The sequence below is a fragment of the Homo sapiens genome, chromosome 13 (assembly GCF_000001405.40).
Source record: "Homo sapiens chromosome 13, GRCh38.p14 Primary Assembly".
NCBI classification, from domain to species: domain Eukaryota; kingdom Metazoa; phylum Chordata; class Mammalia; order Primates; family Hominidae; genus Homo; species Homo sapiens.
The window spans coordinates 29,070,001-29,082,849 of record NC_000013.11 but is presented as its reverse complement, the minus strand read 5'-3'; the positions used below and the strand labels follow the sequence as shown (position 1 = coordinate 29,082,849).

Here is a 12,849-nt window from a genome sequence, read left to right as displayed (position 1 = left end):
CTATAAGTTACCCCTGGACTTCTGATACAAGAAACTGAACCCCCTTGGCCCTGCTGTATACAATATAAGAATACCAAATTCTGGCCATGTGCTGATCTCTCCTGAGAAGAGAAACTTCTGTTCTCTGAACCCGTGACCCTCCATACCCAGGTCTCCATTATGCCTTGAGTCATACAAGTGGCACCCTGCAAGCTTGGCATAGCTATTGAGGCCTCTTTGCTACAGGACAGGGCCAAACGTGGGCCCTCTCGCATATTCTATTTGCCAAGTTGTAGGAGGATGAAAGGAGGGCCTCCCCTTTCCTCAGACCTTTGCCTGATGCCACAGTGCTGGAGGAGGTCACCCCTTTAAGATTTGGCTATGTAAGGAGCCACTTGCAATCAACTAATCAACAGCAATGGGAGTTCATACATTTTACAGATGAAAATATCACCATCAGGCATGACGGAGCTCACTGGAGAGCTGCTACTTTTCATCCCCTAATCAATATGTTGCTGATACAAGATGGGACCTATCTTAGTCAGCTCAGGCCGTCATAACAAAATGCCACAGACTGGGTGGCTTAAACAACAGACATTTATTTCTCACAGTGCTGCAGGCTAGAAGTCCAATATCAGGGTGCCAGCATGGTCAGGTTCCAGTAAAGGCCCTCTTTCTAGCTTGCAGATGGCAGCTTTATTGCTGTGTCCTCACACAGCAGAAGAGGAAACTCAAGTGTTTCTTCTTGTACTCCCACCATGGGGGCTTCATCCTCATGACCTCATCTAAAACTAATTGCTTCCTGAAGCCTCAACTCCTATCACATTGGGGGTTAGAACTTCAACATATGAATTTTAGGGAGACACAAACAGTCAGTCCATAACTGAAACCAAGGGTCACCACAATCGGACAAACTTCAGGCAGTCGTGTAACACTGGATACTCCGGCCAAAAGTTGATTCCATCTGCATATTTTTATATTCTTGGGTCATTGCCAGTAGTCTGACACTCTGGTCTAGTCAAAGACCACAACAATTTCTCGTTCAAGGTTGCCACACTTGGGGTAAAACAAAAACAAAAACAAAACAAAACAAAACAAAACAAAAATAACCAAACCTCTGGTAATCTCTCGCCCTACAGATACCCAAAATATAAATTAAAGTCACACATATCTCTACACATGCCCAAGCCACAATATAAGGTCTCATCAAGACACTCCTTATCTATTAGGTTGGTGCAAAAGTAATTGCAGTTTTTGCCATTACTTTGAATGGTAAAAACTGCAATTACTTTTGCACCAACCTAACACTTTGGAGTTCCAGACACTGATAGTACAAGAAACGTTTTGCTTCCCAGAACACACAATGCTGGGCTCTTGAACAAGGGATTCAATGGAATGTTTGTCTTCCTTATTGGCCTCAGGCTATAAGCCTCATAGAGCACCATAAGGGCTTACTAAACAAGCTCAAATTCAATAAAATAATATATAGTATGTTTTAGTCGTCAGTTAGACATCAGGGTGAATTGTAATAGTAAGACTCCTGTGTTTGATGTTTGAAGCTGTCATCTTTTTCAGCCTCACTGCTCTCATTTCCCCTTATGGCCCACATCTGGACTGATCACAAAGCCTAGATGCTCCCTCCTCTGGTGCTTGTGGGAAAGTCAAACCAGGCAAGTTCCTGTTTATGTACAGAAACCCTTGCCCCACCCTATACCCTAACCTCAATAAAAACTCCAAGCCAATCTCCTTTCAGTGCTCTCTCAAGACATTTTCAATCTGCTTGAGAGGACTGCCCTGCTTTATTTATGTCAGTAATAAAGCATTGCCAAAGGAGATTAACATCTGGGGCCAGGCGCGTTGGCTCATGCCTGTAATCCAGCACTTTGAGAGGCTGAGATGGGAGGATCACCAGAGGTCAGGAGTTCAAGACCACCCTGGTCAACATGGTGAAACCCCATCTCTACTAAAAATACAAAAATTAGCTAGGCATAGTGGTGGGCACCTGTAATCCCAGCTACTTGGGAGGCTGAGGCAGGGGAATCACTTGAACCCAGGAGGCAGAGGTTGCAGTGAGCTGAGATTGTGACATTGCATTCTAGCCAGGGTGACAACAGTGAAACTCTGTCTCAAAAAAAGAAAAAGAGAGAGAGAGAGATTAACATTTGAGTCAGTGGACTGGGAAAGGCAGACTCACCCTCAATCTTGGTGGGCACAATCTCATCAGCTGCCAGTGCAGCCAGATTAAAAGCAGACAGAAGAAAAGACCAGACTGGCTTAGCCTCCAAGCCTACATTTGTGCTGGATGCTTCCTGCCCTCGAACATCAGACTCCAAGTTCTTCAGCTTTGAGATATGGACTGGCTTCCTTGCTCCTCAGCTTGCAGACAGCCTATTGTGGGAGCTCACCTTGTGACAGTGTGAGTCAATACTCCTTAATAAACTCCCCTTTATATATCCATCTATCCTATTAGTTCTGTCCCTCTGGATAACCCTAATACACCATGGAATCACCTCATTGCTAAAGTTCCAATTAATGTAAGAACCAAAGTAGAGTAGTTTGGGGTTTTTTTCCTCTGTATTAATTTTAACTCATACCAAACTACTTTATAAAAAGGCCACTCTATAATATTCCACTTTGCTTTACTACAAATTCAAATTACCTAAATATTTTCCTAATACTAAATGAGAATCCAAACAAAATTGAGATACGAATCCACCTATGTCCACAGAGCAGCTACAACAGGTATAAATTTAACAAAAGAAGTATAAATCTTTTACTCTGAAAACTATATAATATTGTTGAAATAATTTAAGAATACATAAATAATTAGAAAGCATCCCATGTTCATGGATTGGAAGTCTTAATATTGTTAAGATGGCAATACTCCCCAAATTGATCTACCGATTCAATGCAATTCCTATGTAAAATGCCACATGGCTTATCTGCAGAAATTAACAAGCTAATCCTAAAATTCATATAGAAATTCAAAAGACAAAGAATAGCCAAAATAATCTTGAAAAATAAGAACAAAGTTGGAGGGCTCATACTCCCCCATTTCAAAGCTTAGTGTAAAGCTACAATAATCAAGACAGTGTGGTACTAGCATAAAGATAGACATATAGCTAAGTAGAACAGAATTAACATTCCAGAAATAAACCCAATATTTGTGGTGAACTAAATTTCATCAAGGTTGCCAAGACCATTCATTGGATAAAGAAGAGGTTTTTCAACAAATGGTGTTAAATATACTTATTCCAAAGAAAGCTAGACCCCTATTCATCTATATTTTAAAAATTCAAAATGAATTAAAAGCTTCAAGGTGTGTGAAAAAACTACAAAACTCTTGGGGAAAAATAGGTATAAATCTTGATGACACCAGATTAGCCAATGGTTTCTTAGCTATGACATGAAAAGCATAAGTAACAAAAGAAAAATTTAGGTAAGTTGAATTTCATCAAAACTGAAAGTTTTTGTGCTTCAAAGGACACTATCAAAAAAGAGAAAAAAACCCTAAGAATGGGATAAAATATTTGCAAATAAGTGTCTAATATCCAACATGTATAAATACCTATTCCAACACAACAATGAAAAGAAAAATAACCAAATTTTAAAATTAGCAAATAAATTGAATAGGTATCTCCCCCAAGAACATGTACAACTAACTGGCCAGCAACACATGACAAAATGCACAGCATTTTCAGCCATCAGAAAAAGTGCAAATCAATGCCATAATCAGATACCATGACACACTCATTAGGACAGCTATAATTAAAAAGACAGACAATAACAAGTGTTGGTGAGGATATGGAGAAACTGGAGCCCTCCACATATAGCTGGTGGGAATGTAAAATAGTGCAGCCACTTTGGAAAACAGCCTGGCAGTTTCTTGGAAGATTAAATACAGAGGTGCAATGTGACCAAGCAATCCTCCTTCTAGGTATATTCCAATGAAAAGATATGTTTACATAAAACTTGCACATAAATTTGACATTATTCATAAGAGACAAAAGTTGGAAAGAATGCAAATATACTTCAACTGATGAATGGATAAACAAAGTGGATTACCTATACACTGGAATATTTTTCAGCTATAAAAAGGAGTGAAGTACTGATACATGCTGAAATGTGGATGAAGTTTGAAAGGCCACATATTATATGATTCCATTACACGAAATGCCCAAAATAGAGACAAAATGGCTTAATGGTTTCCCAGAACTGGGGCTTGAGGGAGTGGCTGCTAATGGATACAAGATTTCTTTCTTTTTGGGACTGTGAAAATGTTATAAAATTGCAGTGATATTTGCATAATTCTGTGAATATACTAAAAACCACTAAATTGTATCCTTTAAATTGTGAATTGCATATAGTACACGAATTATATCTCAACAAAGCTGTTATGGTAAATAAAAGTTCTTCAGCTCAGGAATAGGCTTACATTAAGACAGAGCTATGGCTGTTTTCCCAATCTATATAAATATCTTCACTTTCAAAGGGCCTGTGTCAGATAGAAAACTTGGTCTGTTATTGTATGTCCTCTACAAAAACACTCCTCTCATGCAGGTGGAATAAATGTTTTGTATGGCAGATCAAAGACTCTTCTAAATGAATAAAATCCTAATAGGGAAATTAATTTAAATAAATCCAGAAGCTAATAAACATTTTTTAATAAAAACCTAAGATCAAATATTCAAATCTCATGCAAAGAAGCTGAAGTGGACTCATTTCTTTCATTTTTATCATTATATTCTGACAAGATTTTGCCCAAAAAAAAGATGAAAATTTCTATTCGAACAACAAAAAAGATTGTGCTGCTGCTGAACTTTTAAAAGATGTGTTGTTCTTTCAAAATAATATCATTTTTCTTTTAAAAGATAAATCCTTTGAAAAAACCAGATATTCTCATTTTGATGAAACTTGAAGAATTAAGTTTGTTTTGCCATTTTCCCTTTTTGTATTGATTCTCCTTTTAATGACTCTGTAATGTTACAAAAATATCTCAATCAACTAAAATCATAGCGTTTTAAGTTTTACTATTATATTGATAAAGATCCATCCAACATTGTCAAACGTTCTTGACATTCCAGGCAACCAGTAAAGAAGTTAAGAAAGTAAATGTATATTAATCCAATTCAATACGCATTCACAGATGCCTACCATTGTCAAGACACTTCACAAGGTGTTCTGGAAAATTCAGAAACAAAGAAGGAGTAGTCCCTACCAGGGCTGACAATCTGCTGGAGCACTGTGGCTCACTGATAACCACAGCCTAAGATAAAGTGGGTAACAGGACCGGAATAGAGGTGAGAGTAAGTGCTATGGGAAGAAAAAACTAAATGAAAGCAAAACACATCAAGCAGAATGATTCAGTGTTTTTATTCAAGGGCCATGTTTTCCTTATAATTTCATATTTGAAGTTTTTCTCTGGTACATTTATATGTACAGGGCAATATATTGTTTGGGCTCATTTTTTTTTTAATTTTACCATAGTTCTTCCTAGTTGTTTTTACAGTTTCTCCTTTCACAGATACTTTGTTAGAGAGGTGGTTTGCTTTGTTCACATGGCTGAGAAGCAATTCTTCCTCTCTCACCTTGCTTGGAAACATAAACAAACAGCAGCTGTTTTTTATCAAGCTTTCTTCACACTGGGACAAACCTCTTTAAACACAACTCTGTAGTATTAGGGCTACAGCTCTCCCAAAGGAGAAAAGAAAGACACAATTAAACAAAGCAAGAGAAGTGGCACATTTCAGAACTGTATTACAGATCTGCATTTTGTATAATTACTAGCAAGTGTATAATCTCAAGAAAGACTCAAACTCTTTGAATTTCAGTTTTCTCACATGAAAAATGAGGATAAAACCATCTATTCATTACAATGATAGAAAAGAAATTGCATCTAAAATGCTTATCATATTGCCTAACATATAATAAACACCCAACAAATGATAGGCATTGCTATTGCTGCTATCATTAATGCCACTCTTACTGTAATTGCAAAAGCACCTTTCCACCAAAAGGAAAAATAGAACATAGGTCAAGGTGCACAGGAGCTAACTTCCAAGATGGTGGCTCTCCAGTGATCCTCACACCAGTGAATCAGGGCTGACCAGTAAAATACTGAGGAAGCGAAGTGTGTGACTTCTGAGTCTTGGTCATAAAGGATACTGCAGATTCTTCCCTGGGCTCTTGGATTGCTCATCGAGGGGGAAGCCAGCTATGCCATGAGGACATTTAAGCAGCCCCGTCCAGAGGTTCACATGGGGAGGAACTGAGGCCTGCCAACAGCCAGCATCAACTCGTCAGCCATGTGAGTAATCACTTCATCTCAGAAAAGGGTTCTCCATCCTCCATCAAGCCTTCAGATGTGTAGAACTAACCAAATCTGACTGCAAACTCATGAGAGGCTCCAAGACTGGATCACTCAGCCAAGCTGTTCTCAAATTTCTGACCCACAGAAACCATTAGATCATAAATAATTGTTGCAGTTTTCAGCATCTAAGCGTTAGAGTGATTTGTTATTTAGCAACATATAACTAATGCAGATTTTGGTACTTGGAAGAGGGTGCTATTAATACCATAATAAAAAACTTATCCTGTAAGAGTGGCTTTGAAGCCAGGCAATGAGTGGAAGCTGTAAGGAACTTGAGGAAAGCATTACTGAAAGCCTAAGGAGCTTCAAAGAGACTTCCAGAAGAAGCTTTATGAAGAAGCTGTCAGTGAAGGCTTAAAGGAAGCTGAGGAAACTAATGGGAAGTGAATTCTTGTTAATGAATAGCAGAAAATTGAGCAACAATGTTACCTTCTATAATACGAAACGTATAGATTGTAACTTATGAACTTAAAAATCTAGCTAAGGAGATTTCCAGATTTCCAGGTAGAGTTTTGAAGATGCTACCTATCTTCTTCTCACTCTTCTGGTAAAGTGTAAGAGTAGAAGGATAAGCTAAAGACTTCAATATAAACCAATTGCTAAATGTAAAGGAGGTAGGACTTGTTAGAGGTTTGAAAAGTCCAAGCCTCTCCAGATGGTAAATAATACCAAAATTAAGAAATGACTTCTAGGCAATGATCCTGTTCAGACACTAACAGGAAAATATGGTCTAATGGTGAAGCTAAAGGTGTGACTAAAATCCTTGGGTTAAGACCAGAAAAATCTAAGGCAGTGTCTTAAATGACTGGTAATCAATAGGATTCTAGGAAACATAAAGTTGTTGTCCCTCAGTAACCTCAGTGGAAGCCCAAGGTAGAGAAAGGCTTTATTTTGAAGTGATTTTTTTGATGTGGCTTTTATCTAATGGAGTGAATCCAGTAATATTCATAGCAGACTCACAAACTTTTTAAGATAATTATATTAGCAGAAACAGTCAGCTTAGACTAAAACAGTCAGAGATAATACTAACTGAAAGGAGATCTTGAGACAACCAAACTTCTGCAGGCAGAAAACAGGCTAAGAACACTCTTAGGATTCAAAACTTTTATAAAAAAGGAAAGTAGACAAAGAGGGCAGAATCAAAAGTCCAGATGGTAGAGTCCAGAGCCATGAAAAATCACTTAGACAGTGGAACAACTTAGCCGTACCAACGTGTGTTCAGAGCTGCTCTGGGATAGTGAACCCTGTGTGCCTCCCGTTGTGTCTCTTTTACAAATGGGAGGGGGCAGCCTGAGTAGATTAACACAGGAATGAAATGCTGATATATGGTGTAAACTGGATGAACCTTGAAAACATTAAGGCAAGTGAAAGAAGCCAGACATAAAAGGTCACACAGATTGTATAACTCCATCATATAAGATGTCTAGAATAGGCAAATGTATAGAGACAGAAAGTAGATTAGTAGTTGCCAGGGGCTGGGGCTTGAGAAATCTGGAGCGACAGTATATTGATAAGTTTCTTTTTAGGGTGATGAAATGTTCTCAAATTACTGTAGTGATGGTTGCACAACTCTGTGGATAGGATTAAAATATTTGAATTTATGCTTTAAATGGTGGAAATATATAGTGAAATATGTGAATTATATCTCAATAAAACTGTGGTTTAAGAGAGACAGAAAGTCAGAGACAGACACTGAGAGAGCCCTAGAGCTAGCTAGCTAGTTAACTAGTTCCGGGAAAGGAAAATAAAGAAGTAAGATCAAAGATACAGAAAACTGGGAACAAGATCAGCCCCTCTCAACCCAGGAGATAGGTGACTAAAATAGAAGCACTCGTAGTGTCAGTATTGCAGTCACTTGAGAGGAGCACAGAAGCTTAGAAAATGAAAATTACCTCAGGGACAGTAAAGCTGAAGAAGTAGGAGAAGGAAGAGAACAGTGAAGACATATCCTCTGCCTTCACTCAGTTCAGCTGAGTTTGAGAAATAATCATTGAATGTACACCGCGTGCCATGACAGCTCTTATGAAATAATTTTAAAAAATGACGCACAGTTCCTGCTATCAGACACACATGTGCAGAAAAATGACACTAAAGGGTGCTAAGTGGCATGACGGAGGCATGGACCCAGAGCTGTGGGAGCACACAGGAGAGGGGATCCCTAGCACCACCCGGACTAAGCAAGGAATAGGTTACTGGAGGAGGTAAACTTGACCTGAGTCATAAAGGATAAAAAGGAGCTAGTCAAGTTAGGACTATAGAAGAAATAGGGCATTTTAGGGGAGCAGAAACTGCAGAGGTCAGCTGGAAGAGTCTTGCTTGACATTAAGGTGTCTGGCCCTTCTTCTGACAGCAATGTGGAGCCAACAAAGAATTTTAAAGGAGGGAGAACTGGGTATGATTTGCTATGTGGAAGATGGGCTGGAGAGGGGCAAGGCTGAAGACAGGGAAATCAGTTGGGAGGCAGCCAATAAAGAGAGAAATCCTGGTGTTCTGAGAGCAGGAACGGGGCTGAGCGGATGGATTAAGTTACAGAATTCGCAGGTCTTGCTGAATGATTAGTTGAGAGGCTTGGGGGTGAGCAAAGAGTAATCCTCTTTGTTATAGGAATGAGAAAAGGTCTACATACCTGAAAGATCTCCAAGGGAACCACTGTAGTTAAACCATGTCCCACTGAGAGCATGCACACCTGAAAATACAATCATTTGTAGGGACTTTAGGAAACTTTGGTCTGAAAAGCTCTATGGGAGGCTCTCCTACAGAGTGGTCAGCCTGTAGGGTTACTCCCCGTGATCAGCAAAGTGAGCCCCAGAAAGGTGAATAATGAAGAAGGGCAAGATGTACACATGGTGCCTGCACAGGCAAGGCTGTAAACAGATGGAGGAAAGCTTAGACCTCATGCTTTTGATTTTAAAAATCTATGTAGCAAAAGGTAAAGGGTAACCCCCCACCCCCAAACACACACACACACCCGCCTTTCACTAACCTCATTACACATGTGTACACAACCTGGGAATTATGAGCAATAATAGAAAGACTCATCAGATAGTTGTGGTTCCCTGGCATTATTTAATATCCAGGCCAGAAAGAGAAACTAGTCAAAGTTGTTTGTTTTGTTCTATTTTGTTAATGTTTTTGGAGTTGTGAAGAGATTGGTTGAAGGTAAATACAAAACACGAGGCTAACTGAGCAAGAAACTATAAAACCAAATAAACCTATTCATGCAGTGTGTTTTTAATTGAGGTTCAAATCTTGAGGTGACTTTCTTTCAACAACCTAAGAAATTGAGGTTAAGCATTTTTGGGTTATTAGAATAATCCAAAGACCTGAGTGTCTGCATTTGCACTTCTGTTTGGGTCGTGTTGTATCATTGAAAGTGACTGCATATAACCCAGACATTCACAAATATCTAGTGACATCTTTTCCACCGGATTAGAATAAAACGACCACCAGAGAGAGTTAACCCAATGTCATAGAAGGGAAATGGAAAGTGAAGGATTGTGGAATGAACATGACAAAGTGCTACCAACAGAAGGAAATTAGCAAAAGGTAAGGTACAAGTCATATATAAATGCTGCAAATGTCAGGCTTTGTTGCTGGACAGATCTGCTTATAAATAGACACTGTTTGAAAAGATACGTCAAATACTGAGTGACCTTGTACTAATATCTTTCAGAATTAGAAGAGTTGGTCAATGATTTTTAACTGATTCTAAATCTACTAATGCTACTCAACTGTTATGTTATAAATATGGATTGCTAAAGCCCCTGGATCCTTCATAACAGTGATTTTCAGGAGAAACATCAGAGGTCCAAAAGCAAATTAAAAGAAACAATATTTTTTGTGAGCAAATTCAGTTGAATCATGTTTTCTGATCAGTGGCTTTAGCATTTCAAAATGGAAGTAAAATTAAAGCAGGTATTCTATTTGCTAAGGAAACAACTCAGAAAACTGTAGTATGATGACATAAGAAGTCTTTTCTATGGAGTGCCCTTAAAACGCATTTTCATAATGTTTTTACAATACAGTTGAAATGCCCTCATTTTACAATACTGCAAAGCACCCTCAGAGATGCTGGTCAACAACATTGACTGGATTTAAGAGAATCTAGTCAATGTTTTGTTGACTAGATTTTGGCGAGACTGCCAGCACAAGATGAGACAGAATACAGGTATTTTTATCCTCTCTAATCAAAGATGCTTGAAAATGAGAGTAATTCAATTGTAAGAGGTAGAATTAAAAATAACAACCAACATTTACTGAGTGCTTTCTATTAAGCACTCTGCATATTTAAACCTAGATCAAAAAAAGAGAAAAGAGACAAGTACTTACTGAGCTAGATATGTCACAATTTCTGGAAACAGGACACAGATGGAGGCCCTAAACTGATGAACAGAGGAAGAGATGCACAGCCTGCAGCAGATGAGACAGCAATGCTGCAGTAGAAGAAGAACCTGCTGACCTACCAGCCTGGAGGCCCAGAAACTCCAAGATACAGATCCAAGGGAAGATGGAGGAAGAAATGGGCTGAGAAATGAGGCAGGAACTATATACCCCCACCCACCATCTCCTCTTCTGGGCATAGGGTAAGCACCCAGTACGCATACATTTTCCTCTTACTCCCACCCCCTGCCACACCTCGGAGTTGGAGGAAACAGACTTCTGAAGAATTTGAACAAATTAACTCAAGCTCATCCAACTCAATAATAAAAGATCACAAAGAATTTGAGAAAATCTTCCAGCATAAAACAAATAAAAAGCAAAGAAAAACTGCCCTGAAGAATATAAAGAGAATTCAAGCTGTAATCCCAGCACTTTGGGAGGCCAAAGCGGGCGGATCATGAAGTCAGGAGTTCGAGACCAGCCTGACCAACATGGTGAAACCCCGTCTCTAATAAAAATACCAAAAATTAGCCGGGCATGGTGGCACGCACCTGTAATCCCAGCTACTCAGGAGGCTGAGGCAGTAGAATCACTTGAACCCGGGAGGCAGAGGTTGCAGTGAGCCCAGATCATGCCAATTTTACTCCAGCCTGGGCAACAGAGGGAGACTCTGTCTCAAAAAAAAAAAAAAAAAAAAAAAAAAAAAAAAAATTCAAGCAACATAGAGATCTTTTAAAAAATCTAATTAGTATCCTCAGAGAAATTTGGGAAGATATTGCAACAATAAAATAAAGAACAATGTGCTATAAAAACAAGCAAGATGCTGGGCACGGTGGCTCACACCTGTAATCCCAGCACTTTGGGAGGCTGAGGTGGGAGGATCACGAGGTCAGGAGTTGGAGACCAGCCTGACCAACATGGTGAAACCCCATCTCTACTAAAAAAAAAATTAGCCAGGCATAGTGGCGCACACCTGTAGTCCCAGCTACTCAGGAGGCTGAGGCAGGAGAATCGCTTGAACCCGGGAGGCAGAGGTTGCAGTGAACCGAGATAGCACCACTACACTCCAGCCTGGGCGACAGAATGAGACTCTGTCTCAAAAAAATAAATCAATAAATAAACAAAAACCAAAAAAAAAAACAAGCAATCAGAAGCCAAGAAGGCATTCTTAGAAATTAAAAATACCAAAACAAAAATTCAACTGAAGGGTTAGAAAATTAAGTCAAGTAAGATTGTCTAAAATGCAGAAGGAAAACATAAGGTAAGAGAAATCACACCAGAAAAAGGTAATGATACAGGTAATCACTTTATGAAGTCCAAAAGCAAATAACAGAAATTCCAGAAAGAAAGAGAAAACAGAGAGGTAGAAACTAACAAGAACACAAGATGATTGCCCAGAGCTGAAGGGAGAGACAAGTTTCAAACAGAGAGACAAGTTTCAAACAGTTTAACAAATCCTTAGCAACATAAACCTCTCTCTCTCTCTGACACACATTCTCACGAGCATATACACACATCCACACACAAATGCCACTAAAAAGTTTTAAAACACCAGGGATGAGAGAAGATTCTAAAGCTTTCAAGGAGGAAAAAAAAGAAATCAGATCACCTACAAAAGAATATTTACCCAACTGGTGTTACCGTTTCTCTTGAACAACACTGGAAGTCTCTATAGTTGAAAACTCTTTTCAACCTAGAAAATGATTTTTAATCTAGTAAATGCAGACTACAGATGATTTCAAAAATATTAACATTCTGCAAGTTTGCTTTCTTTGAACTCTCTCTTAGGAAATTACCAAGGATGTACTCCAGCAAAATAAATAAGTAAACCAGAGAGGAGAAACACATGGATTAACCCTCAAGAGAAAGGTGAGTAGAGGTTCCAGAGGAACATTTGAGAAGGTAAACAAAGAGCAGAATTGAAAATTTCAGAGGCAGGCACCAGGAGAAACAGGAAAAGCCATCCCGAGATAGAAAGCCCAGCACAGCTGGTGTCCAGTAAATATTTATTGCATGATTCCATCCCCTCTCTCCAGCATGAGATTCCATCTACCCAAATCACTCAGTACTGTCCACCTTCTCAGCCTATGCTTTGAAGTCATGATTTTTATATGGTTTTG

At 38.9% G+C, this 12,849-nt stretch overlaps 1 protein-coding gene across 13 annotated transcripts in view; it reads right to left on the bottom strand.

Annotated features, from left to right (window-relative positions):
• The window catches only part of MTUS2 (microtubule associated scaffold protein 2), a 685,985-nt gene that overhangs the window by 423,098 nt on the left and 250,038 nt on the right, over positions 1–12,849 (bottom strand). For 5 of the 13 annotated variants that reach the window (XM_047430227.1, XM_011535019.4, XM_047430228.1 and 2 more), the window contains one exon: positions 8,976–9,035. The exons of the other annotated variants lie outside the window; for them this stretch is intronic. In XM_047430227.1, coding sequence (XP_047286183.1) covers positions 8,976–9,035 — 60 coding nt within the window. The remainder of the gene's footprint in view (positions 1–8,975; positions 9,036–12,849) is intronic. 13 annotated transcript variants of the gene reach the window in all.